Source organism: Homo sapiens, chromosome 18 (assembly GCF_000001405.40).
Source record: "Homo sapiens chromosome 18, GRCh38.p14 Primary Assembly".
In the NCBI taxonomy this organism is placed as follows: Eukaryota; Metazoa; Chordata; class Mammalia; order Primates; family Hominidae; genus Homo; species Homo sapiens.
This window is the reverse complement of record NC_000018.10, coordinates 48,678,776-48,706,563: the sequence shown is the minus strand read 5'-3', so window position 1 is coordinate 48,706,563 and position 27,788 is coordinate 48,678,776. Positions and strand designations below refer to the sequence as shown.

The following is a 27,788-nucleotide window of genomic DNA, read 5'->3' as shown; positions in this document are numbered from 1 at the left end:
TAATCCTAGGCAGAGAGTGCGAGGCCTTGCCCTGTGATGACAGCCATAAAAAAATAATAATTCTTGAATCTGGGGGTGAGGGGATGGGGAGGGAGGGCAAAACAAACAGTGAGCAGAAAGCATTGTGCCGGGTGGCTCTGTGACCAGCTGACACTGTGATAGGAGTGACACACCTCCCCTAGGCAACAGGCTCCCAGCCACCCACCCGTCTATGCCTCCATCCACCCATCCCTCCATGCACCTGCAATCTCATAAATATTGTTGTTTCAGGCACTGTGGATACAATACTGAAATAGAAAGGCAATATGCTTGTTCTTACAGAGCACATATTCTAATGAAAGGAGAGAGGCAACAAAGTATATCATATGATAAAGGACTATGTTTTGCTATGGAGCAAAACACAACAGGGCAAGGGGATGAGAGAGGGACGGGTGGAGGGGTCAGGGAAGACCTCTCTGTTCAGGTAACACTTGACGTCCATCTACCTACCCATGCCCCCATCCATCCACCCTTGTCTCTCTCTCACTCGACAAATGTAGGGGGCCCGCCATGCAACAGTGCACCTGATGGAGAATATCAGGAGAATAAGACTCTGTCCCAGGCCTAGGGGAACTCAAGGGAACACAAACAAAGAAGCTGATATGTGCCATGTGCGATAGTTGAAGTTGAACGGGCGCCTCTGGCGGCCCATAGGAAGGACCGAGGACTTCTTGGGAGAAGAGTCAGGGAAGGTTCTGCCAGGTGGGTGATAGTTGAGTGGAGCTCTAAGGCATTTGACAAGGCACAAGAGAGGAGAAGAGGGCATGCCACAACCTCAACCCGGCAGGCCGATGGCAGCAGCATCATGGGCTGAGTGCCGGGAGTTGGGCTGGGCCCCTGGGCAGAGGTGAAGCCCTGGCATTCCGAGGACCGTTGCTGGTGATGCTGACCACAGTGTGACCCCATCTGTAAAGTCCTGGTGTGATCCCATCTGTAAAGTCCTCCTCACCCTCCGCAGGAGGTAGAATTGTGTTCCCCAGAAAGACTGGTTGGAGTCCTAACCCCGTGCACCTGTGAACGTGACTTTATTTGAAAATAGAATCTTTGAAGATATAATCAAGTTATGATGAAGTAAGTCCTGTGGGATTTAGTTGGGCCCTAAATCCAACGATGGGTGTCCTTATAGGAGAAGTAAACTTGAACACAGAAAGATGGAGGAGACACAGAGGGATGAAGGCCATGTGAAGACGGAGGCAGTGTTTGGAGTGAGGCAGACACAAGCCCAGGAGTGCCAAGGATTGCTGGCAGCCACGGGAAGCTGGGAAGAAGTGCAGAAGGCTCCTCCCCTAGAGCCTTGGAAGAAGGAGCGCAGCCCGGCCAACACCTCTAGACTGTGAGATGATGCACTGCTGTTGCCGTCAGCAATGGGTCAGGCTGTGCCCGTGGACACCCATTACCCCACCCTCCCTGAAGGATGAACCTGCTTCCCTGGAGACCACAGTGGAGTTACCAGTTGTCCAGCATAGACCAATTCCTTCAGAGGCTGGAAAAGGCTCTTGTCTCCACCACTGCCTGCCAGCCGAGGTGGTCAGCATGCACTTAGGGGCCTCTGGTGTAAAAGTTGTTGTCTCTACCCAGTCCTCACATGGGGCCGAGATGTGCCCACCCTGAGGGGCCTGTGCCTCTCTCCCATGCTTCCTCCTTCCCCAACCAAGGGTCCTCTGGATGATGTCATGGGTTGAAGTGTGATCTCCAAATTCTTACGCTGAAGTCTTAACCCCTGGTTCCTCTGAATGGCCTGATTGGGAAAGAGGGCTACTGCAGGTGTAATTAAGTTAGGATGAGGACACATTGGAATGTGCATGTGTGGGGCCCCGGTCCGATATGACTGATGTCCTTGTAAAAACAAGGCCGCGTGAGGACTGGGGGGACACTGCAAGAAGCTGAGGGGCTACTAGAAGCTGGAAGGGAGCGATGGTCCTTCCCTAGCATCTTAGGGCGGGTGTGGCCCTGCCGACACCTTGATGTGGGAATTCTGCTTTCAGAACAGTGAGCCAAGAAGTTTCCGTTCTAAGTCACCCAGTTTGCGGTCCTTTGTTATGGCGGCCCCGGGAAACTAACCCAGGTGGAGTGGTGGGCAAAATCACCCAGGCTGGGAGGGATATTTTTCTGAGTATATTTCCTTTGCCAAATTTTGAATTTGAATTTGAGATTTGAATTTGTATATGTTGAATGCTCACCAGGTAATTCCACTGTATATCCAGCCCATTTTTATGGAAGAGGAAGAGAAGGCTTAGTGAGGTCAAAGAAGTTGCCCACAGAGGCCCAACCAGTTAGCAGGAAGCCTGTGTCTTCCATCTCTGAGGCACATGGTCCCAATGGTGATGTGACATGGCCTACGGTACCAGGGCAGAGATGGGAGGCCAACCCCCCAGGAGCATCAGAGAGCTCTCTCCCACCCTACCATAGACCCCGTGGTGCTCCGCCATGCTCCCCAGGCCTCTAGAAGCAAGAGGGAGTGGACAAGAGCAAGTCCCTCCCTCATTTCTGTACTCAGAGACAGGCAGTCCCTCCCAGTGACCACTACGCTTCCCCCCAGGCCCAGAAGTGGGAGAGCTGGCGTCTGGCAGGCACTGGTTCAGACAGCCTCCTGTGTCTGCCTGGCATATCCTTGCTGTAACCCCAGAGATGACCCTGGCCACAGCCCTTTTGGCAGGCTCACCTGCTCGCCTCCCTTCTCCTCTCCAGAAAGGGGTATTCCTGGCCACCAAGCCCACCCTGCCCTTCACTCCACAGGCTGGAGTGGTGGTGGTGGTGGTGGAGGGGGAGTCCCCGGGCTGCTGCCCCTGCCCCAATGAGGTTTTGAAGTGCCCCGCAGAGCTCAATTCCATGGCCTGCACTTTCATAGAATCCAATGCCCACTTAACCTTCAAGGAAAATCTTCCTGACAGTCTCATGATCTTTGACCTCTGACCCCTGACCACGAACCTAGGTCTGATAGAAATCATCCAAGCCTAACTATCTCTAGGTCTATTATCTCTCTCTCTCCCATACAGCAGCTTTTTGAAAAGGAAGAAAGCATTATACAGACACAAGAAAGTCTTCCTCCTGCTTTGTTAAAAACAACTACACTAAATGCTTGTCTTTGCAAGGAAGTGGTGCAGCCGTGCAGTGGTGGGGATCCTAGCCCAGGCCAGGGAAGGGGTGGGAGGTCCCAGGCAGGAGGTGGCCACACCGGGCTCCTCACCAGGCACACCTTGCAGCTCCAACCCTGCTCCCTCCCAGCTGATCACCTGTCTGCCCCCACAGTGCCTGGATATCCACTCTGCCCTGGCCTCTTGGAAGCTACAGTCCCCCTCTTCTTCACAAGCTTCTATATTGATTACATCAGGTTTCTGTCACTCCCTGGGCATACCCAGAGAGCATGAGCCCCATGGAGGTAGGGCAGATCCTCAGGCCAAGTCCAGACCCTGCTAGCTCAGGACTTGCAGACTCCCATCATCTCTAGCCCCAACCTGGGTAGACATCCCAAGGGGTGAACAATACAAAGGAACCACAGCACTTGATTAAAGGACCATAAAAATCCCAAGCACAGCTCCTCTGACAATAAGCTTGTCTTAACAGCAGAGGCTTCCTCCTGCTGGGGGTCATGGTTTTTCATGTTTTTTTTTTTCTAAGAAGTTATCCTACCAAGGTCTCTCTCCACGTGGGCAGGATGTGTGGGTCACGTCCAAGCAGAAATAAATAGGTAATGTTTCTAAAATTCCTGGAATCTCTAGGCTGCACAGCTATTCAGAGAAGTTGACCTGATTCAGAAAGGAAAGTCGGGGGTGGGCAGGCTCACCCATGCTTAAATTTGTGGTTTTCTAACTTTTAATTTATTATTTTTTAATCAGCAGAGATCCTTTTAAAAACAATACCTTAGCTGAAGTTCTAATATAAAATCATAGACAATAAAAGTAAACATGGAATTTCTGGAAGCTGCCGCTGAGCCCTGGCACCCCACACATCCTGCCTCCACCTGCCACACATTGGTGCCCTGTGGCGTGAACCTAAAACTCTACCCATTCTGAAAAGCTCTGCTCTCAATACTATCCCAGAGGCTAGCTACACAATGAGCTAGACATTTTTCTAGAAGAAGGGCTTCACTCAGGAACCCCGGACAGGTTTCAGTGGATTCCACGACCCCCTTAAAAGTGCACGTGAATATTTTGCGCAGGGTAGCCTTGTGGGTGAGAGCCTATGACATGCACCCTATATCCAGATGGTTTTCATCTGCACAGCACTGCGGTTCCAGAGGCTGGGTCGCTGGAATGGGCAAGACTTCCTTGGATGCTCCAAGGGAATAACCACCCCTCTCTCCCTTTTCCTTCCAACAGGGTTTCTTATTGTAACAGTCTAAAGAGTCCTGAATAATAAACTGCACACACCCTTTGGGTGACCCGGATCCTAGCTGTCGCTAAGCCTGGATCACCATGGACCATTCTTTTAATATCCCATTCTGCCCTCTCCTCTCTCTTGTGTAAAATGAGGATGAAAATATTTGCTCTTCCTACCTCCTTTGCCACACTATTAAGACTTTCTTTGATTTCATGAGCCAACAAATTCTTTTTACGTTTAAAATACTTTGAGTTGGGTTTCTGTCGCTTGCAACCAAAAAAGTCCTAAATAATTTAACATGATACAACTTTAGGAGTCAGTGGGGCTGATCTTATTATATCCAGGAAGTCATGGAAAGCAGACATGGCCCCTCCCTTATTGCCCTCCACGGGTAGCCATGTCAGGAGGAATCTACCAGGCAATGTCAAATACAAATGACATTTACTTATTAATTTCTGAATAAACAGATAAAATAGGTGAGGACACTGATGCAAAGAACAGGGACTAGGGACCAACAGGGAAGTGTTAGAAGATTGTTTCTACATTATAGAGGGTAAAATGTACAGGAAACAATTAGTAAAATGCCACTTCTTCAACTACCATTGTCAGGCTTCCATTCTGCAGCCAGCACAGTGCACTGAAGGGAGTGCACTGTGTGCACTGGGGGCTGGGGGACGGAGGCACTGGAGGATGACTGTGACTCTCTGTGTCGAAGACCAAATGGGACCAAAAGGCTACGGGCCTTCTCCAGGTCATGAACCCAGGAAAGACTTGAACACAGGCCACTTAGGCTCATGGTGTTCATGCTGCTCATTGACACGGGACACGCACAAGAGAATGGAACTGGAGTGGACTGACATGCTCCATTCCCTGGATAATGGATATCTATTAAGGGTCCTGGACACACTTCTGAACTGAAAATGGCAATGCCTTCAAGCTGCTGCAGACCAGGGGCAGAAAGACGCCCAAGAAATGTGAGAGGTACAAAGGGCCATGAGGAATGAGAGTTTCCATTCTGCAGCCCCTGAAAAAACCACCTGGGCATGATGAGACACATATGGCCTGTGTCCTGGCCCCTCATGAAGTGGTGTGTCTATGGCACAGATAAGACCCAGAGCCTCAAGAACTCTAGAGAGCAAGCTCAAGAGAAGGCAAAGCAATGTTTGCGTTCTGGCCTCTAAGGGGGAAATGACAACTGTTGAGAAGTGGGCAACATTGTGAAGAGTTTTATGTACTTGAGGAGGTTCAAAGACCATCATAGAACTGAAGCATCAACCAACTCTAGAAGAGGAGTGATGCTCAACAAACCCTCAGAGGATGCCCACGGTGCCCTGTGAGCATGCTGTGTGCACAGACACAGGAAAACAAGACTCCACCTCTGTCTCCAAGAGGGGCATGGGCCCTGGGGAAGAGGGACACGCAAATTGAGTGGAGTCACAATGGAAGAACATCCAAGGTCCAAGGAGCTGTGGAGGAAGGGATGCCTGAGGTCACCCTTCGAAGTGAACAGAGGCTCTGAGGTTAGAGTGAGAGAGGCACGGCCCACGCTTGAGGGGCTCTGCTCTGCTTCTTCTGAGCACACTCTGCTGCAGCTCATTATACAAACTAGCAGTAGTCACGTTCGCACAGGGCAGGGGCATCTGTGGGTAGCAGGGAGGGAGCCCCTGCCTAAACCACCTGCGCAGCCATGCTAAGATTCTGAGGTGTACCCCGCTGTGCCGGGGGGAAGCCTCCAAGGCCTCACATGAATGAACAGGTTCATCACTGTCCTGCTGTCTGCCCTGGTAGGTCACAGCTGGCTGGAGAGGCCACAGGCATGTGTATTAGCCTGTTCTCACACTGCTAATAGGGACATACTTGAGACTGGGTAATTTATAAAGGAAAGAGGTTTAATGGACTCACAGTTCCACATGGCTGGGGAGGCCTCACAATTATGGCAGAAGGCAAAGGACGAACAAAGTCACATCTTACATGGTAGCAGAAAGAGAGCATGTACAGGGGAACTCCCCTTTATAAAACCATCACATCTCATGAAACTTACTCACTACCATGAGAACAGCATGGAGGAAACCATCTCCCTTCAATTATCCCCACCTGGCCCAGCCCTTGACACGTGGCAATTATTATAATTCAAAGTGAAATCTGGGTGGGGACACAGCCAAGCCATATCAGCATGGATAAGGAGGCCACAGTGAAGGCGAGAGCAGCAGGACCTGCCTCTCAGTATCTGCCGAGCCAGTGTGGAGTGTGCTCACGTGGAATTGGAGAGCTGGGGGACTGCAGCAATGCAGATCCAGGTGCCCTGAGCAGAGATCAGGCATCAAACGTTTTGGCTAGATGCTGTCACTGCCACTTACCGCAGGAGCTGGCAGCAATGCCTACCTTATTTAAGCTTCTAGTTTTCTCACCTAAAAAATGGTGGTAATAAAGAAGCATACGCATATCAGAGGACCGTTACGAGGGTTAAATGAGATGACTGGGCATGAATGGCATGTCGACAGCCCAGCTCAAGAATGCCCCGCTGCATGTGGAGACCCCTGGGCTAGGAAGGCCTCCAACCTGAGGCTTCGTAAGCACTTGCGTCTGTGGTCTTTGTGCACCTGCTGGGAAGCAGCCGCCCAAACCCCAAAACCATCCTAGAATGTGGTCATACCTGTGTTAATCAACTAACCACCTGCTAAGCTCCCAGGCCGTGTCCAGGACACTCTTGGGCCAAAGCAGTCCCTGCAACCTCAGCTTCCTCCACACAGACCTGCACCACCCGGCTCCAGCCCCAGCCCCAGCCCCAGCCCCAGCCCCAGCCCCAGCCCCATGCTGGCACTTCCCAATCCCTCCCCTCATCTCATCACAGGACTCTGGGCAAGGCAGAGAGCTAGAAGAGGGGAAGCTGCAAGGAGGCTCTGAAGAGCCAGGGAGGGGCCTGTCTCCCAGAGGACCAGCCAGTCTGTGAACCTGCTCAAGGGCAGAATGTTACTCAAAGGCCCTGAAGATTTCAGGCCTCGGCAGCCAAGAAACTCGACTGAGACACTGGGTCTGACTAGCCTGCTGGGGCCGTCGGGCACCAGGAGGCTCGGGGGTATCTAAGAAGCTAGCCACAGCACAGATAAGAAGAGTGGGGAAGAGAGGACCTCTCTCCTCAGGTCTGACCGAGAACCAGCAGGGGCAGCTCAGCCTTGGTGCTGGAGGGACAGAGGGTTGAAACGTGGGTCCTCGTCCAGGAAGCCAATCCGTGGTTTCATTCATTCAGGCAACACATTTCTGCTGAGGCTTATGTGGTGCCAGCGGCTGTACTAGGTGCTGGGGATGCCACAGTGACCTAGGCCACAGAGAGGAACTTCCACTCTACCAAGGGGAAATGACAGTCCCCAGCCTGCAGCTAAAAACACCAAGGTCATTCAAACAGAAACAAGTGTGCTCAAAACCAAACCAAACCATAGGAAGGGGATAATGCTTTAGATTAGGGCATCAGAAGAGTCCTCCCTAAGAAAGGGACAGGTGAGCCAGACCAGAATGACCAGGTTGAAAAGATCGGGAAAGATTCAAGGCTGAGAGAAAACAAATAGGGTATTCCTATTCTGTTTAGTCTTTAATATGTGAAGCTTAGAGTTTCTTTAAATAAAGTCGTAGACCTAAATTAGTGGTGCCCAACATTTCAAATTTCATAAACCAGTAAATTTAAAAATGGAGAATTGGGCTGTACACAGTGGCTCATGCCTGTAATCCCAGCACTTTGGGAGGCCGAGGTAGGAGAATCACTGGAACCCAGGAGTTCGAGACCAGCCGGGGCAACACAAGGAGACTCAGTCTCTGAAAATAAGATAAATACATAGTTGCCTCCCCAGGATGGAAGCGAGTCCCATGCCAGCTGCTGGGCCCTCCTAGCTTGGCATGCAGCCGGGGCATCTCCTGCGACAGGTTCCAGGAGGGCAGCCCCTGCAGCTGAATCACCCAGCTGCCCAGCAGCAGAGGCCAGGAAAGCAGCATTTTGTCATTTTCTCCTTGTGTACTTGGTGTTCCCTTCAAGTGCTCCCTTCATCCATAGGGTTTTCAGAGGGGAGTTTGCTTTTTTTTTTTTTTTTTTTTTTTTTTTTTTTTTTTTTAATGATGGCTACATTTTCCACTGAGTTGACTTTCAGGAGGGAGGAGTAGAGAGTTGCCCTGCAGTGCCACATGGTTCCTGGCTCTGGTCATACCCCACGCTTGACCTGGAAGGCCAGAGTGCATGAGCCAGGCTCAGGGGATCAGATCCTGTGCTTCAGGACTGCAGGACTGCAGGGCTGGGGTGATGGACTCAAGGGCTAGGATGCAACGGCAGGATCACTATTTCTGGCTGCATCACAGCCTCCCAACAGTGGAGGTGCTTTCTGGCTTATCAGGAGGAGGTGATCCCTTAGATTCTCACTACCCCCTCACATGTCATCTCTCAGGAGAAGCCCATCCAGAGGAAAAGCTTCAGCAAATGGATTGCTCCCCAATCCCCTCTGGCCTTGAGAACCACTTTAAACTTCTATTTACAGCAATGCAGCAGAAGGAGCACTGGGCTGGGGGCCAGGATACCCGGGTTCCTGCCCTGGCATTTGGAGTTAGACTGGAGAATGGTCAGCCACTGATCTTTAAGGACCATCTGGGCCTCCCTTTCCCTGTGCACCTGCCATGCCATCCCTGAACACACACTCCTCCTTCCAGGCTTTGTCTTCAGCCTGGAACATCTTCCCACTTCTGTTTACCCCTAAAATTCTGTCAGCTTTTACCATTAGCACAAATGCCCCTGCCATGCAAAGCTGATCCCAGTTCCCATGAGAAGGAATCCATCTGGTCACACAGCACACTGGACAAACTTCCTAGTACTCCATCCTGCTGTCTGAATGGTCTAGATAGTTACTTAAATGCTTGCCTCCCCAAACAAGCTACAAACTTTCAGGAGCTCAGGAGCCATGCTTCCTTCACTTCTGTAGGCCCCACAGTGTCTGGCACAGTGCCTTAGATACCATGAGCCTCCATAATTGTTTGTTGTATAAAAAGTTAAGATGACCACTGTCCTGACAGGCCAGAGTTGGGCCATTCTTACTGGATCCACTGTGGACCAAGAGCATTCATTGGTGGCCCAGAGGCCCAGGGGTCTGTGGCCTTTAACTAGGCAATATCTCTTGCTCTGCAAGAGGCCAGGATCCTTGATGTCCTCTAACCATAAGGCTCAGTGCTTAGTGATTGCTAGCTCTCCTTCAGTTAAAGGGAAAAGGTAACAAAGACCTGGGTCCCCCAGGACTCAGTGAAACTGTAAGCTCTCCGAGGACAAAGGTGGCCATTCACTGGCTGCATGGTGACAACACACCACAGATGCTTAGGCCCACTACTTAGCTCCACAGGCCCCCTGTGTGTAACAAGTGTCTCACTTCTGAGACAGCAAGGCAGCAGGTACATTGGCCAGGCACCCATGCTGCTCATTTATCCTCTCTAAGCTTCAGTTTCCTCTGCCTGAAAATGGAGAGACTAATACCTACCTTTCGTTGTAGGAATTAAATGAGATGCTGAAAACCAAAGGAGATGACAGATAGAAACACACCTGGCCAGTTCTGGATTACATGTTTGCTGAACCCAAATGGGAAATGCTCAAGCCAGATCAGCTTGCAAAGAGAAGGGTCCAAGTGGACCCTAGGTCCCGAGAGCTCAAGCCAGACAGACTAAGAGCGGTGTCGGTACCCATAAAGAGAGCAATATGTCTGGCGGGGGTCACACAAAGTAACACAGGCCGGGACGGTGAGACCAGGAGTTCCACCCTGCGATGGATGGGCAGCAGGGTCCAAGGAGGTAGGCCAGCCCAAACTGTGACCCCAGTCAGCACCAACAGGGGGGTCCCATCCAATGGCCTCTACTGGGTTATAGAAGACACAGGCTCGCTGCCCTAGATTTGTGCTGTCTACTGATGTGAAAGGGCTGGAGGTGAAAGTAAACTCTGGATCACAGCTGGGCCCATAGCCTAGGCAAAGACTAGGGGACTCCAGGGACTCCTAAGCCCCCCGCCCCATGCCAGAGCCCTAAGCTTCACCTCCAGAATTGCATCTTACACGTTGCAGATGCTAATGAGACTGACAGCTGGGGAAGAAGTGGAGAGGGGGAATATCTGTGGGAGGCGGCTTGGGCCTTTGCACGAAACCTGCCAGATCTGTGACACTCCTTGGCTGTTTTCAAAAGGTTCTACTAGCTCCTCCTAGGATACCTCAGAGTGGCAAGAACATAAAGAAAAAGGAGACAGCAAGACCAGGCTTGGGCATCTTTGAGCCGAGTCACATGCGGAGGAGACAGCCCAACAATGGCAGGAAGTTCCCTGCGAACTCTTTCCTTCCCCTCCAGTCCTGCCCGATAAATACGCGCTCTTCTCCTGACTGAGCAATGCCAGTTTCCTGGAAGGTGTTCAGAAAGTCTCCTCGCCATAGAAGGAGCCAAATGATGTCTACATGGATTATGAGCTATCATAATGATAGCAACGGGCTGTAATGTATGGAGGCAGGCACTGAGTGAAAAGTTTCTGATACAGTAACTAATTTAAACCTCACAATAGCCCTGAGATATAGGTACTACGATTATCTATTCTCTACAAATGAGGAAAAGGAGGGCTGGATAGACTAAACAGCATGTCTAAAGAAATGCAGCAAGTAAGCAATGGAACTAGGGTGGCACCTCAGTTCTCTAACATCAAAGCCTATTCCCATGAGGCTCAGGATTGAACCGTAGCGGAATGCTCATAAGAGCATCAGTCATGAGACCCAGCACTGACGGCAGCGAGTGCCCATCCAGAAGTGTGTGCGTGGGTTCCCTTTCTCTGGCAATAGACCCCCAGATCCCATTATAATGACTCTGCACAGCAATGTCACATAGCAGGTACTCAACAAATGCTGATTGATGGAGTGAACAAATGAATGAATGAATAATGAATGTGGCTTTAAACAAGCTACAGAAAGGGTTAGCCCCAATTGTGGTGGGCACTCGCTCTGTAAACAATTCCAGCACTGAATGCATACATTTACAAGGTTGCTGTAACTGGGTTGTGCCAGAGCACCTCACTTCTTCCCTCTCCCTTCTTCCAAATTCTGTGCTGTGCTTCCAAAATAGCTGTGCTGCTTCATGTGAATCTGATCAGTACCAGAAGAAGATAATAGATCTCCCTGACAAGTGTGTGGTCAAAAATTTAAAAAGCATGAGGAACTTGCAGAAATGACAAAGGATAAGGTCTTACAGAGGTTTCCAATTAGGAAGAAAGATTAGATGGACAAAGATGAGTTCCTAAAAAGCTGCTTGCATGCAGAAAAATCTCTGTGTGGAACTGTATTTTAAGCATACTAGGAAATTGTAAGTCCTGTTCCAAATATCTTTAGTAAATTAGACAATCGACTCCAACTTGTTAATTTTACAAGAGAATCCAGATGCTTTAAGGAGACTGGTTGTACCATTCTCTCTGACTATAGTGAAATTTATCATTTCAGAAATTCAATTACTTGTTCCATTCCCAGAAAGCAGTGCTAAGCTTTTGTTGTGTGGATGCACGGCATTAAAGAGTCTGCACCACATAAAAAGGTCTTTATGGGTTGTCTTAAATTGGGCAGCCATTGGTTCTGGCCAGCAGGCTCACTAAGCAATAGTGGCCCTGCTGACGTAGTTGGTATCTCATTCCCACCATGGCTCTGTAGCAGACAGTGATCTGACCTACTTTCAGGGGCACAGCGGTGGCTCAAGAAGGAATGGCGGAGAATTTGAGAACCTGGACTCAGGATATTGAAGCTCAGTCTTTAGGCGCTTCCTGGCCATCCTCCACTGCCAGGGTTCCTGTGGCTCTGACTGAGGGCAGCTCTCATCCCCTCCCTGCTCTCTGTCTCCAGAGCCTCTGCCTCCTGCAGCCCTCCTCACCTGAATCCATTGTCCTTGGGCAGGAATAGCGTCCATTCCTAGCCAGAGTGTCTAACTTCTTACATCTACTAGGTTTTGATATGGGGCTTCCCAAGCCCCCGACTCACAGCCTGCAGAGAAAACAGTAACATCTGCCGGGCACCCTAGGGCAACCAAAGAGAGTCTTTGGGACCAGAGGGTGGGAGCAGCAGCACCTGCCACCCCAACAGCTGAGTGAGGGAAGCCAACCAGGACTTATTGTCAGCACAGCCACCAGGACACTGCTCTGTTTTAAGAGCAACTAAAAATTTACACAAAGTCCAAAATGTGGTTTTAAAAATTCCCCGCATAGGCACCAACGCATAAACTGCAGTTAGGGAGTCTATGCAGGGTCAACCCTCTAGAGCAGGGATCAGCAGATTTCCTGTAAAGAGTCAAATACTAAATATTTTAGGCTTTGCAGGCCATAAGGTCTTTGTCACAATGACTCAGCTCTGCAGCTGTATGGCAAAAACAGCTACAGAAGTGTGGCTGTGTTCCAATAAAGCTTTATTTATAAAAACCAATGGAGGGCTGGACTTGGCGCGTGGATCATGGCCGATAGACCCTTGCACTGGAGACATGTTGGAGACCTGGCGCATTTGGCAGCAGTGTCTTCCCTCTCTGGGCCCTTCTCTCTACTGGGTGCTGGTTTTCTGCCTTGGATAGGTACCCAGCCTTCTCACACTCTCTCCCCACTCCTTCATAGAAGGACCTGACAAATTCAGTCCACCTGAGATGAGGATAAAGGGGTTACATTTACCTGAGGTTGGTGGCTCTCAGCCCTGGTTGCTCAGTGACAGCCCCTGGGGACATTTAAAACATCTCGATGCCCAGGTCCCACTCCAGAGACTCTCATGCATTTGGTCTGGGTGCAGCCTGGGCATCAAAGATGTTAAAAGCTCCCCAGGCGAGTCTACAACGTGGTCGAGAACCACTGCCTCAGACTAAAAGGAGAAAAAGTGAGTATTTTTAGAACAAGCAGGCCAGAGAGGTAGAATTTCTTTTTCCTCTTGTGGGTGGGAAAGGGCCAAAAACATGCCCAGAGCCCTTGGAGCCTGCCACACAGGACAGCCTGGGCCACCCTCCGCTGATGCTGGCACCGGGTAGATTTCACCATGGTCTGCCAAGATCCATTTTTATTTCCCTCTTGATATCTAGTACATTTCTCTGTGGCAACACATATATGCTCATTAACACCGATTCATCATCAGAAAAGCACGTAAGGGCCTAATATCTAATCAGTTGGTTCATCTATCAATGCTCAAAACAAAATGTTGACCAAGTCCTGCCTTAGAGAGGGCTGTAGTCTATCAAGGTCGAGACAAGGTAAGCACAGATGAAATAATAATAGGCTTAGCCATATTCACTTTATGCAATAAGGCAGTGGTTCCCACACTGCACAGTATAATGACCTGAGGAGATTTTAAAATCCCAATGCCTGGGTCAAGCTCCATGCTAAAAACATCAGAGTGTCTAGGGATGGAAGACTAGCACCAGTCTCTTTCAACCCACCCCTCCACAGGAGCCCATTGTGCAGCAAAATGTGGGAACCATTGTTGTAGGGTTCCGCTACTCAAAGTGTGGTCTGAGGACCAGCCGCGTTGGTCTCACCTGGGAGCTGGCTGGAGATGCAGAAGTTCAGGCCTACCCTAGTCCTCCTGAATCAGAAGCTGCATGTTCACCAGATCTGCATGCTATTCATATGCACGCTAAAGTTTGAGAAGTAATGAGGCAGGGTACCATGTTCTGAGAAAGCAAAGATTCTAGAATGTCCCAGCAGAATGGTTAGGAAACACTTCTTACAAAGAGGGGGAAGTGAGAGAGATTTTGATGGATGGGAGAATTAGAGGCAGAGAGGTGGAGAGGACAAGATCCAGGCAAGAAGGAAACTGATCTTCGTGTATGGTGAGCCAGAAATAGGAGTAAGGGTGGTTTTTTTTTTTTGTTTTTTGTTTTTTGTTTTGTTTTTGTTTTTGTTTTTTTGTGGCCCATGAACACCCAGAGTGGCCCTTGGGCACAATCCCTTTGTTTCCAGACCTCCAGAAGTCAAGTGGATTCCCAGTTGAGTTGAGCAAGGGTTTTTTGTTTTGTTTTACAAAGATAAAAACTTAAGTCTCATTTAGTGAGACAATTAACAAGCTCAGGTTTTTGAAAAGGATAAAATCTGAGGTCAGGAGTTTGAGACCAACCTGGCCAACATGGCAAAACCCCATCTCTACTAAAAGATATACAAATTAGCTGGGCATGGTGGCACACGCCTGTAATCCAGCTACTCGGGAGGCTGAAGCACAAGAATTGCTTGAACCCGGGAGACAGACGTTGCCGTGAGCCGAAATCACACCACTGTGCTCTAGCCTGGGTGACAGAGTGAGACTCTGTCTCAAAAAGAAGAAAAGGATAAAATGGCAGGTAAATAGGATTGTCCTGGAATACCTGGGGCAGCAAGTGAGGGGCGGTGGAGGATAAGAATAGATGAGGGAGTGAAGAAACATTCCAGGGCTTCAGATCTGTCTCAGGCCAGGGGAGAGCTGGTGTCACCACTTGGGTCTGGGAGGGAGAGGGAAAGGGGAGACAGGAGTGAGCAAAGATGCTTGGACAATTTCTTTGAGGAGGACAGACTCACAAGAGAAGGAGTGGGGAGACAGGAAGACCAGACAAGGACTGGGGACATGAGCACCTGTTCCCAGCTAGAGAAAGGAAGAAGGAAAGACCTTTTAGGAGAGGACTGATTCTATCTGGTGCAGGTGGCAAAGAGTCACTGAGCATTGGGAGGCCTCGAATCTGGAACACTGGGCTGTGTGACTGACTGGAGGGAAATCTAGAATCTCAAGTGTATTCTAACAAACTATTTTGGTAACGACCCCTACAAAGTTATGTATGGGAAAATACAAAGCCCTTCAGCAAATATGTCTCCCAAAGGGAGGGAGAGAGGAAGAGTAAGCTATACACAGGCCCTGGAATTGTCTTCGGCACCAGAGGGCCACGAACACCCAGAGTGGCCCTTGGGCACAATCCCTTTGTTTCTAGACGTCTGGAAGTCAAGTGGATTCCCAGTTGAGTTGGAAATGCCGGGAGACTTTTCCCATACTACAGTGGACTGAAACAATGCCGGCAGAGTGGACGTTACAATTGTTTCCACTGAAGTTATTTTGGGGGAGTTTAGGAAGATTGTCTATTCCAAGACATTTCCTTCACCCGATTCCCTTTATAAAAATACCGAAGGAAGAAGCCTGTGTTGCAGCCACTCTGTCTGCCCTGCTCACAGGCACGTGCACCATGCTCGTGGTGAGTGGCTCCCAGTGGGCCCCAGGAGCTGCCGTGTGCAATACCTATTTACTGCTGCCCTCTCAGAAGCCCTTAGATTTGACTGGCACCTCACTGTTTTCAAAGAAGTTTCTCCATTATTGTCTTGCTTGATTCTCACTACAGCCTTCTGAGATGGTGGTTTGCAGGGAGGAGGTTTTATTATCTCCATCCTAGATAGGAGGAAATGGGGAAGTAAAGGTGCTTGGTCAAGTCCATGCAGCTTGGAAGAGGTGGAGCGGGGCAGGCTCCTGTGTTCCGGCTCTGGGAGGATGCCTTCTGGGTCCTGTGCGTGTTGCAGGGTGCGCCAGGGCTGCTGAGAGAGTGTTCCTTAAGTGTTTGTGGACTACTTTCCACAGCCAATCCCCGAGCCAGGTCATGATGGATCAGCCAGGAGAAGACAGACCTGGCCCTTCTGTACTCAGGGCTCCACAGCTAGTCCAGTGTGCTGTTACATGGGGTGCAAGATAGGGAAAATGTGGGATGCAGGGTTGGAAGGAAATGCAGGGGCTGGATTGGGATGACCGTGCATGAGAGGAGCTTGTCTTCCACGTGATGGAAGGCAAGGACAGGCTGGAGCAAATCAGGAAACTAGCTAGATGTGTGCACTTTGTAGGTCATGCTAGAGGTGACTGGATTTAGGGGATTTAAACCAAACCCAGGGCAGACTGGTAAGGGGCTGTCACAACAGCCAAGGGGCAAGGAGGACTAGCGGAGGAGTTAGGGAAGCCATAGTGGATGGAAGGAGAGTCTGTAAACGCCCAAATAAAATAAAATTTAGAATGAAATTGATGAGTTTTGGTGAAGGACGGGGTGGGGTGGAGATGGGGGAGAGAGTGTCACCTATAAGAAACACAATGGCAAAGAAGACATGAGCCCTGCTCTGAGGAATCCTACCTTCTTATAGGACAGGGAGAAAATAAGGCTGGGCATGATCAATTTCAAGATGACAGAAGCTACTGAACTAATGTTTTATAAGTTAGGATCAAGTCCTGGCTAACTGCTTATTTTTCTATGATGTAAGTATCTCACAGACTGGGGAAATGGGATAAGTCTTTAATACCTTAGGGCAGAGGGGCTCAGCCATGACTGCAAGCCAGATTCACTCGGGGAGCTTTACAAGTGCCTCATGCCCAGGACCCATTGCCCAGAGAGTTAACTGCGGCAGGGGAAGGTAGTGACCTTTTCTTCCCTGAAAGTCACCTTTGCACTTAGCCCCTCCTGGACAGCAGGAATCTCTCTCCTGTGTACAGTGACCTCTGACTCACAACAACCTTGAGAATTCAGCTCATCTGCGCTGGCCTGGGGCTTGAGTTTGGCTCAGTGCAGACTGAAAGGGGCTGTGTTATATGGACAACCATGAAGGCTCCTTTCAGGTGGGCCCTCCTATGACCTCGTGACTCCATCCTCCTGAAGAAATAGAATGGAGGAAACTTGCCTTCTTGGCTGTTAGACATTACCCTTCAGCGGAGGGTTCTCTGTAGCTGAAAGGTTCTCAACTCAAAGTTTGGCCTTCTAGAAAATGACTTAGTGACCCAAGCCTTCAATTCAAGCTGCAGCATGTGAAATCCACTTAAAATGAGAGCGGGCTGCTGCTTCTGCATGCTTTGAACAACCCCAGGAGGTGACTCGGCCACTCTGTCCTCATAGATTTGAGTTATTTTTATGACAATATCAGACAGAGGCTGTGCTGAGGAAGGGGCACCTCTTTCTAATTTGCAAAAAGTCGCCATGTGGCTAGTGGCCTCCTTCAGGGATGAAAAAGGAAGCCACAGGCCTGACACACAGCCCAGTATGCAGAACAGAGAACAATGAGGACAGGGTACAACTGCCAGTGCGGGATGCCCAGATGCTGTGGCAGTCCTCCTCCTCCAGGGTGTGTCTGAAGGCCCCCAAACACCACCGCATCTTTCGGAAGAGCCCTCACCTCTCTGTGCCCCCACCTCTCTGTGCCCCGGCATGGCGGGGCTGAGGAGTGGGGCCCCGGGAACCTCGGCCATTAGCAGCTTATGTGGTCTTGCAGTTCTCACTTGGATGAGAGAGGGGAGTGTGTGCAGAGACAGAGAGGCAGCTCTGATTGTCATTCCTTTCTTTTTCTCCCCCTCTTTCCTCTCTACAGAACATTTTCTGTGCAGATGCTTTAGTGATGAAGCCTTTTCAAAGACACCTACTTGATGCTGATCTCTAGGAAATTCTAGAATACATTATTAAACAGATGTCCTGTGAGCCTTGTACAAGGACCAATCATTCGGATTCATTATAAAAGAAACTACAGGATGTGTGGGAAGACCAGCGACCAAGGGACCCTGGGCCCCAAGTCAGTGGCTGAGTGAGCTGTGTGGCCTCTGGCCCAGCACTTCCCCACTGGGAGCCTTGCCTTCCTTGTTTAGAAGGACGTGTTTAGGATGGTTTAGAATGGTGACTAGGTGCTTTTCAAGATACATGCACAGAGGACATTTCATCTCTTTGTTCCTCCATCCAATGCTGGCTGTTCCTTACTCTGGGCACCATGGTGAGACAGCTAAGTCTTCTGTGTTCTCTCTGGCTGGTCTAGGTACCCATCCTTGGCACCCCTATACCTGAGCCTGCCCTCATCTGACCCTCTCTTCTTCACCAGCCCCATCGCAAGTATACCCAGCTTTATCCTCCACATCAGGGGCTGAGGTGACAACATGTCGGTAGGAGGAATCCTTGCAGGTGATCTGCTGGAAAAGGAGCACTTCCAGGTAATAAGGATGCACCCAGAGCCCTTGCCCTTCAGGCCTTAGTGTTCTTGAGAGGAGGAGCAGCTGACAAAACCGTGCACAGACTGGCCTTGCCTCAACCAGACTAAGCTCTGAGGTTTCTACCTCTTTATCACTAAGATGCAATGTATTATACTGGAAAAGCTGTCTTGACTTTCCTTAAGGGTAGACTTGCTTATTTAAACATTTCCAGAAATGAGCAGGAACTCCCAAGTAAGGAGATTAAAGCTACCAGAAGTTCTACACAAGCGGTTTTCAGGAACTGCAGAATGCGTGGATTGTTGAAATGTGAATTGGCAAAAGGCAAGGACAGCTTGTACTTTATATGAGACCTTCTGGGACTGGGCTACCACTGGGGGTGGGGGCCACATTTCTTAGTAACGGCAAAGGACAGCGGGACTCAGGCGGCTGCAGAGACAGAGGTGCCAGCAACTACCTGGTGCCTTACAAGTTCTTAAGGGCAATTTGAAGAGGCTGCTTTCAGGCTCACCTTTGCACACAGTCGGCTTCACATTTGCTCTGGCAATTTCAGCAACGATTCTCTGGTTCTGTGATTGATGGAGCTCCAACAGCGTACCAGTGCTGTCTCAGAGGTGGTGTCGGACAAGAGCCCTGCTCCCAGGGCTCTGGAGGCTTGCTGAGGAAGAGTCTTTCCCACCAGGAAGGGGCAAATACAAAGCTAGGCAGGGTGTGGCTGGAATCCTAAGCAGGGGAGGACAATAGAGCCTTATCCTTGAGTCCCAGAGCACTTTTGCCCTGGTGGCTCTTGTGTAGGGTCTGAATCTTTGTAAGGTCTGAATCCAAGCAGAGATTTTCCCAGGCCCCTCAGACGACTGGGGCTTATACTCTGCTCACTCTGCCCATCTCCTGGTTGGTAAGCTTGGTGTGTGTGTGTGTGTGTGTGTGTGTGTGTGTGTGTGTGTGTGTGTCCCCTCCTAGAGTTCTTTGAACAACAGCAAAGAAAAAAATCTATGTACTGGCATTCAGGTACATCCTGCACCCCCTTTATCCTCTCTATACAACCTGTCCAGGGCTCAGCCACAAGCCAGTTCTCCTGCCTGAACTCTGAAGACAGATCGCTTTATCCCCGACTCCCACACGACACCATCTGCTCCCGTTGCTCCTCTTGACAAGCACACAGAGCTCAGTCTTCCGACCTTCTTCCTGTTTCCCTAACTATTTAAATCCAAACAAATTAGACTTCTGACTCGACAGGATTGACCACATGCATTTAATTCAACTCCTGCTCTCTCATGAATACAAAAACTTGTAAACCCCCATAAGCACAGAGATCAAGAAAAGAGATTTCAACAAACTTTGCAAAGACAGAAAGTAAACGAAGGAGGAGTGGGCAACTTGGCAGTGTGGGGACAGGTGCAACCTAAGTTATGTGCAGAGAGGAATACTGATGAGAAATGCATGGATGGAGGCTGCAAATCTCCGAGGACTCAAAGCTTGCAGGCCCCAGGTACCAGGAGAGGCAAGGCTCAGGTGTTGGCAGGAAACAGCAGAACCAGATCGAAGTCTAAATATGAGACTCCCCAAGTCCCCTTCCCTTTCCACATAGCCAGGAAACTACACTTTGGTCCCCACCACCAGGCAAAAGATTCAAAGTTTATTTCTGGAGAAGCAGAATAACAGAAGCTGTGACCTGAGAACCCAGGCACTCAAGGAATGAGGGAGGAGAGAGTAAAAAAACGTGAGAACCGAGCAGCAATGAGCACACCTAGGTCCCGATCTTGGCTTCTAAGAACCATTCATTAAAAGGTACCAGGGCTCCTTAGATAACACTAGATTCCAGGGCTGGGGCAGAGAAAATACCAGATAAGCCCAGAACAAGTTCTCATGCCTGAAAGTCAAGAAGTGCTCAAAGAATAATGGGGACATTTTAGAAACACACAGAAGCCAGTTTGCAAGGGCTCCCACTGGGATGATTTGAGCATCAAAATAAATAATAGTAATGGATTATAACCCTTAGAATAAAATAAAAATCTATGAGCCAAAACATATATAAATAAACAGATAAAAGAAAAATAGAGAAGGAAAGATCTTTATAGCAGAAAGCCAACTAATAAATGTAGATGGAATTTTTTAAAACCACTATTTGCTGATCAGCATGATGACATTTCAGGCACGAATCATTAAGGAATGCTAAAATTTGTGAGTGAAAGTATTAGCAGAAACAGTATATTTACATAGTCTCAACTATCTCCTTGCAAGATACTTATTAATTACAAAGAGAAAAATAGTAACTTGGGGCCGGGGCACAGTGGCTCATGCCTGTAATTCTAGCACTTTGGGAGGCCGAGGTGGGTGTATCACCTGAGGTCAGGAGCTTGAGATCAGCCCGGCCAACACAGTGAAACCCCATCTCTACTAAAAATACAAAAATTAGCCAGGCGTGGTGGCAGGCACCTGTAATCCCAGCTACTTGGGAGGCTGAGGCAGGAGAATCACTTGAACCCAGGAGGCAGAGGTTGCAGTGACTTGAGATCGCACCACTCCACTTCAGCCTGGGCAACAGAGCATGACTCTGTCTCAAAAAAATTAAAAAAAGAAAAATAGTAACTTCATAGCAGTGAGGCCTGGAAGCTACTATCTTAACCAGTTGGTCAATGTCAACATCACGAAATCCCTGTGCCTCTCCATGAGCTGCACGAAGAGGGACACAGCGCCATTTCTGTGGTATTCCCTTAAAAAGTGCACATACTCAGCCGAGAGTGGTGGCTCATGCCTGTAATGCCAGCACTTTGGGAGGTCGAGGCAGGCGGATCATCTGATGTCAGGAATTCAAGACCAGCCTGGCTAACATGGTGAAACCCCGTCTCTACCAAAAATAGAAAAATTAGCCGGGCGTGGTGGCATGTGCCTGTAATCCCAGCTACTCAGGAGGCTGAGGCATGAGAATCACTTGAACCCGGGAGGCGGAGGTTGCAGTGAGCCGAGGTCGCACCATTGCACTCCAGCCTGGGTGACAAGAGCAAAACTCCATCTCAAGAAAAAAAAAAAGTACACAAACTCAATTATGAAGAAACATCAAACAAAATCAAATTGACAGACATTCTACACAATAACTGGCCTGCTTGTACTATTCAAAATGTCAAGGTCATAAAAGACAAAGAAAGATTGAGGAGATAAAGAGATATGACAACTAAAAGCAAAGTCTGATCTTGTATAGGTTCTAAACCAAAAAAAAAAAAAAAATACAAACAAACAAAAAAACAAAAACTTTTTCTTTAGCTATCAAGAACATTAGTGGGACAATTAACAAAATGTAAATGTCTACAGGTTATGTAACAGTATTCTGTCAATGCTAATTTCCTGATATGACAATTAGATTGCATTTATGGAAAAGAATGTCCATGCTTTTAGGAAAACATGCTGAAGTATCTAGGTGTAAAGTGGCACTGTGTCTGCAACTTACTCTTCAAGGAATTAAGAAAATAATAAAATTACATAGGGAGAATGATAAAGCGAGTATGGTAAAAAGTGAACACTTGGGGAATCTGGGTGAAGGCTATATAGGAATTCTTTGTGTTATTTTTGCAACTTTCCTGTGAATCTGAATTTTTGCAAAATAAAGAAAAGGAAAGCAGGATTCGTTAATGAAGTAATCATCTGATTAAACATTTAAGTAAAATTCGGTATACCTATATTGAGAGGACAGAGTATAGGAGAACAAAATTCTTCTCTCTCATAATAAGAAAATCAGCAGGAAATCACTAGAATTGATATACTTAAAAAGAACAGTATAATAATAGTATACTAGATATTAGAAATATTAGAGATTAGATATCTGTATTCGAAATAGGGTGGTACCACTAGAAAAAAATAGTAAAAACAGTGAAGGTATGTAGTTGCTTTGAGGAATGGAACGGGTCACTTGAGGACGCAGGGGGTAGAAAGCTGCTATTTTCTGTCACAGGCCTTTCAGTATCATTTAATTTTTGTAAGTTACAGACAGGTACTATTTTGATAAAAAATGAGTAGATGGTTCAAGTGTTTGGGGCCCACCTCCCCATGAAGGCATGAGGTCGCCCCAGCCTACATTTTCCCTTTTCTGAATCCCACCTGCACCTGTGGCCCCACATTATACTACGTTGGAGATGAATGATCTAATCAGAGCCACAAAGCATGCGAGGTGCAAGTGGCTACTGAGGTCATTTGCTCCAATAGTCACCTTAGCAATGTCACCACGCCACAGCAGTGTCCATCCCACCTGACACTTTAGCACCTCACAGGTAGGGGAACCCCAGCCCAGGCCATGTTGGCCACTCAACATAGAACTAGTGGCCAGCAGCCCTGGGCCTCATGGTGCAACTGGGCCCCCATGAGAGCTTGGGAGCCTGGGCCCCAAATTTTCAGGGCTGGTGGCCACAGTGGTGCCACGCTTGTCTCAGCAGACAAGGAGCCACCATTTACCCTCCCTGGATCCCGGCCAGGCTGGCAGACCTCTGGGATCCAAAAGAGACACACTCCAGGAAACCCACAGCGAAAAGCAACACCAAAGTCCCCAGGAGTAATGAAAACACTCCTTGAGGTTTTCACTCTGGAGAGAGAGCAGGGCCTAGACCGCTAGAGGCAGAGCTTCCTCCTGAACCCTTTGGGGGTGGGGTGCCAAAAGGAACAAAGAGGGTCTTTGGAGAACACAAGACTACATCTAATGCTTTAATAATCAGAGCTCTTTCCTTCAGGAGCACCCCAAAAGTGGGCAAGGGGGGTGAAGGCTTGGATCCAGAAGGAGGGCAAGGCCAGCACTCCTATTTCACAGGAGGAGGGTGAGGCTCGGGGGCAGGAAATGATGGCCTGTCCCTTGTGCCCCCTGCTCGAAGTGAGACCACTGATGCTCGGAGGGACAGTGGTCTCACTGCAAGCAGGGGTCCAAGGGACAGGCCGTCATTTTCTGTGGGGTTCCTGGAGTCCAAAATTGTTTTCTGGACACAACCACAGTATGTAGCCTTTCCAGGGCGTGTTTAGCTAGGCCTGCTACTCCCTTGTTGTTCTTACTTATGGTCGATGTAACATCAACTTTGGATTATTCTCTTTGCAGACAGAAGTTTGTGTTTGTTGCTTTATTCCCAGGGAGGCTTCCCCCTGCCACCCAGTGTGCTTCGGTGTCAGCGCCCGCCGCTGCAGAGGTTCTGCACGCAGGGAACAAACTCCTCTCCCTGTCGGCCTCTGCCCAGCACGCTGTGGATGGTTCATCTGCCACACACACAAAGCAGTGCGCTGGAAGGAAAGATCTGGAACACTGAGCCCAGGGCTTCGCCCCATCCAGGTGGGTTGCCCCCACATCTCCACCCCAGGTGTTGGCTTTGACCACCTGGAAATACGCAGCGTCACTGAGGACTCTGCTGAGGTTTCTATCTTTGGTGCAAAGGGAATGAGCCTTCCAGAAACCCTAATCCCCAATGGCCCGCCCAGGGCTGTCGGGACCCAGGGGTCCTCTGAGGCATGACCAGTGACAGGAGCAGTTGCTGGAGTCTGGGGGACCATGTTGTCCTTGAATCACCAAACCATTTGCAAATCCATGTCCTGGGTTGTCAAACAGGGCACAATTCTTTGTCCTTCATTTGAGCAAAATAATGGTAAAAACCAACCAACCAAAAATCTCAGCAGCAGATAGAAGGGGATAGGGGAAGGTGATGTCAGTGACTCCCTGAACTATCCAGAAGTAGTGAAAAGCCAGTGGCCTGCAAGTAGGTCGTAAGGCAGTGGTTCTCCAACTGTTGCACGCATCAGTATCACAGAGGGCTTGTTAAAATGCAGACCACTGGGCCCCTCTCCCAGAGTTTCTGGTTCACTGGGGTGAAGATAGAACACAAGACTTTGCAGTTCTAGCAAGTCCCCAGGTGATATTACTGCTGCTGATCAGGGGCCACACTTTGAGGACCTGTGCAAAGAGCTGCAGAGGTGAATAAGATACGCTTTTGGCTCCCGGGATCATGTGTGTTTCAGGGAGAGATGCATGTGTGGGTGAGGCATGCATGTGTACCAGTGATGTGGAGGGGCAGCTGTGCTCTAGGAATATATTAAGTGCTGGAGGAGCCAGGTGAATCAATAAACTAACGCATTGGAAAAGTCCCTTATCAGGGAGGGCTTCACAGAGGAGGTGACCTCTAAGCAGAGTCTTTGAAGAACAGGTGTGGGGCTGGGCACGGTGGCTCACACCTGTAATCCCAGCACTTTGGGAGGCCGAGGCAGGTGGATCACCTGAGCTCAGGAGTTCAAGACCAGCCTGGCCAACATGGTGAAACCTCATCTCTACTAAAGACATAAAAATTAGCCGGGTGTGGTGGCACGCGCCTGTAATCCTAGCTACTTGGGAGGCTGAGGTAGGAGAATTGCTTGAACCTGGGAGGCGGAGGTTACAGTGAGCCAAGATCGAGCCATTGTACTCCAGCCTGGGTGACAAGAGTGAAACACCATCTCAAAAAACAAACAAACAAACAAACAAACAAAAACCAGGTGTGGGGCAGGCAGGCAGGTGGATGAGGTGGGAAGGACACTGAAGGCAACTGGTGCTGCTGGATCAGGGGCTTGGCAATCAGTCACCAAGCTGAGAGCACAGACAGACTCGGAGTCACAGGAAAGAAGCCGGGGGTGCCAGCAGGCCCTGGGCTAAAGGAAAGTCCAGGGTTTTCCATAGGCCCTGAGAATCAGTGAAGGATTTTTAAGCAAGGCAATGAGAAGTTTGCCTTTCTGGGTCTCTCAGTTTCCTCGTCTGTAATGGGGTTGTAGGTGGAAGTTCTGGGTCTTTTCCAGCCCTGGCAGGCTACGAGTCAATGGGGAAAGGAGGGAAAGAGTGGTAGCATCCAGCTGGGGGCCCCACTCTGGAGGTAGCCCCTTGCAAAGGACAGGGACCCAATGGCCACTCACTCACTTGGTTTGTTTGGCCATCGGCTGCCTCCAGATCCCTGGCCCAGCCTGGGAAGTGGAGGCAAGCAACTGACGGTGTCACACACACTGTGAATCTCTCCTGGGCCTGACCCCCCAGCCCCCCTGGCTGTATAGAACAGAGGGGCCTGGGATTGTGCAGCAGCTCACAATGGAAGGAAGAGGGTGTAGGAGGGAGGTCCCTGGGCTGACCCTGGTATTGTTCTTGGGCCAGAGGAAAGCTTCCTCCTGCCTGGCCGCTGCAATGCTGGAAAAACGCCTTCCAGCCAGTAAGAGTCAGTGTGTCCTGGGGGGGCCGCCTGCCGGCGGGTCAGCCTGGGAGCCGAGGCCCATTCACAAATGCCTGCTGGAGAGCACGTAGCCCTGTCCGTCCCCGCCCCCTCCACCACCACTGCTCCCAGTGACAGAAGCAGGGGGAAACTAAAATAACTGGGCTTCTCCGCCCCTAAACTCACCGCTGCCAGGAAGGAGAATGAGACCAGAAATGGGACATTGGCTAATAAAGGAATAATGGATGCTTCACACCCTTGGCGACACCTTCCTCTTCCCCCAAGCCCCGGCGGCTCCTTCCACAAAGGACAGAGGAGGGAAGATGCTGGACCGGCAAGCAATCTCAATCAACCAGGCCTGGCCCAAGTCATCAAGGGCATCGCCAAATTGGCTCAGGGAGTGGGAGGATTAAACCAGACCCTGGAAACTGCTGAAGGACAGGGACGGCAAGGCTGCGGGCTGTGTGGCCCCATTCATCAAAGCGGGTGGACGTGTGCAGGGTGGGTCTGCCTCTGGGCATCCGTCGACAGGGCCACTCAGGCCAGCCTGGGGCCTGCTCACTGTGTACCGGGCACCCCTGCTGGCCTCTTCTCAACCCTGAGCTCATTCCTCCAGCAGGGCTAGGCCAGCAGCTCTTTGTCTGTGTGATGGCCTTGGCCCAGCTGAGACCTTGAGGAAGGCTGTCCTCAATCTGGCCTTCTTTGAGCCTACTGTCCCAGCTCCCTGTCCCATGCTGGCCTCAAGGCCCTACTCCCTGAAGGATTAAGCCCTCTGATACTCATCAAGGGATTCTGGATATGGTCTGGCCCAAAGTAGGGCATGGACAGATGACCTCTCCACTGGGGCCAAGTCCTACTTTTAAAGGGCTCTAGCCTTTGTCCCTAACAAATAACAAAACTTCTTCCCTGGTGCCTGGAGGGAGATCCTGGGAACTCCCTCTTGGTCTCCAGGAGGAGGGCATAGGCTCAGTCAGGCCCTGTCCCACGGCTTCTGAATCCTCCTTCCATCCTGCATTTCCTTGCTGGAGAGCATTCGGCTGAGTCCCTATTTGGTCAGGTCCCAAGACGTCCAGGGCCACCCCCAACTGCTCTCCCTACATACAGTCTCCCCTCTCGAGGACTCCTGGACTCCCCCACTCTCAACAGCCTCCTTTTCTCCTGACCATAATTCTCTTTCTCCCCATAGGTCCCTCTCCCCTCCCAGGCCACCCCCCAAGGCCCAGTTCCAGGTCTACCTCCTCCAGGAGGCACAAATGCATGGAGGGGCATAAAAAAGGGGAAAACCTCAAAATTGGCCTAGAATCAAGACCCCCAAAAAACCAAGAAACCTCTGTGGGCTGATGTGGTCTGATTTATCCAGAATAGTTTCATGCAGGAGGTGAAATTGGAACAGGGCCATGAAAGAGGGGGAAGATTTGAGCAAGAAAGAGGGAAGGACATAAGAGGAAAGAGAAATGGGTGAGCAGAAGACTCCCCCAACAGTCTTTTCTGTCTAAGGTCAAGGGCAGGAAGACAGTCACCCTTTAGGTCTCAGTCTCAGGAGGAGCTGGGGAAAGCCAACAGTCCCTGCCCTCCATCTCCCACCCGCCAAGAAACCCACAGAAGGAAGCTGTTGGACCATCTCCAAGCGCAGTTCTTATCTGCCAAGCTTGCCAGTTCTCTGCCTGCTTCCAGATGTGACTACCACTTCATGAGGCCACATCACATCTGCAGAGTGTTTTTTAAGTTCAAAAATCCCTGTCATTATATGAACTGGTTTATTGTATTTTGACTCTTAGCACAGCTTTGCAACGTAAGTTGAACAGGTATATGACCCCCAACTTTACAGCAGAAGAAATGGAAGCTGGAAGAAAATTATTTTGGGTGAATTACACAATGTTCTGTGTGCAAAGCAGAAGGGCTCTTGGATGACTAGTGAGTGAGCTTTAGGATTTCTGCCACCTGTTTTAACTCTCAGAGGTTTCCTTTTTTGTTCTGTTTATATTCTAGATCAGTGTTTGGCAAACTTTTTCTGTAAAAAGCCAGAGAGTCAATATTTTAGGCTTTGCCGGCGATAGGGTCCACACAGCAAGTGGCTGTGGCACAAATGCAGTCACAGACAGGAAGCAAGTGAATGGGTGTGGCTGCGTTTTGATAAAACTTTATTTGCAAAAACAGGCTGGAGAGCTGGACTTGGTCTGTGGACCAGTTTGCCAATCCCTAAAATCCTAGCCGTGGCCTGGATCATTGAGGTGTTCCTATAGGGTGGGCAGACTTGCCCAGGCCCCTTGAAGCCTGCCCCACACAGCCCTGA

General features: G+C 49.7%; 1 protein-coding gene and 1 long non-coding RNA gene across 27 annotated transcripts in view, besides 4 other annotated features; one reads left to right on the top strand and one right to left on the bottom strand.

Annotated features, from left to right (window-relative positions):
• Positions 1-27,788, bottom strand: part of CTIF (cap binding complex dependent translation initiation factor) — a 324,187-nt gene that overhangs the window by 156,654 nt on the left and 139,745 nt on the right. The window lies entirely within an intron of this gene.
• Positions 2,139-27,788, top strand: part of LOC105372107 (uncharacterized) — a 30,901-nt gene continuing 5,251 nt past the window's right edge. The window contains exons 1-3 of one of the 3 annotated variants that reach the window (XR_007066460.1): positions 2,139-14,691; positions 18,140-18,311; positions 23,412-23,607. This is a non-coding gene — a long non-coding RNA (uncharacterized LOC105372107). Of the gene's footprint in view, positions 18,312-23,411; positions 23,608-27,788 lie in introns of all 3 variants that reach the window. The other 2 variants (XR_007066461.1, XR_001753440.2) reach the window with 2 other exon arrangements.
• Positions 5,699-5,858: an enhancer, noted in NCBI's record as "active region_13293". NCBI's record gives its function as "activates an Ori minimal core promoter by ATAC-STARR-seq in GM12878 lymphoblastoid cells {active_cell/tissue: GM12878}" and the evidence as "EXISTENCE:reporter gene assay evidence [ECO:0000049][PMID:35858748]".
• Positions 5,879-5,948: an enhancer, noted in NCBI's record as "active region_13292". NCBI's record gives its function as "activates an Ori minimal core promoter by ATAC-STARR-seq in GM12878 lymphoblastoid cells {active_cell/tissue: GM12878}" and the evidence as "EXISTENCE:reporter gene assay evidence [ECO:0000049][PMID:35858748]".
• Positions 6,341-7,130: an enhancer, noted in NCBI's record as "H3K4me1 hESC enhancer chr18:46225805-46226594 (GRCh37/hg19 assembly coordinates)". NCBI's record gives its function as "activates a minimal SCP1, AML or CMV promoter by ChIP-STARR-seq in naive H9 embryonic stem cells {active_cell/tissue: H9 hESC(naive)}" and the evidence as "EXISTENCE:reporter gene assay evidence [ECO:0000049][PMID:30033119]".
• Positions 7,131-7,921: an enhancer, noted in NCBI's record as "H3K4me1 hESC enhancer chr18:46225014-46225804 (GRCh37/hg19 assembly coordinates)". NCBI's record gives its function as "activates a minimal SCP1, AML or CMV promoter by ChIP-STARR-seq in primed H9 embryonic stem cells {active_cell/tissue: H9 hESC(primed)}" and the evidence as "EXISTENCE:reporter gene assay evidence [ECO:0000049][PMID:30033119]".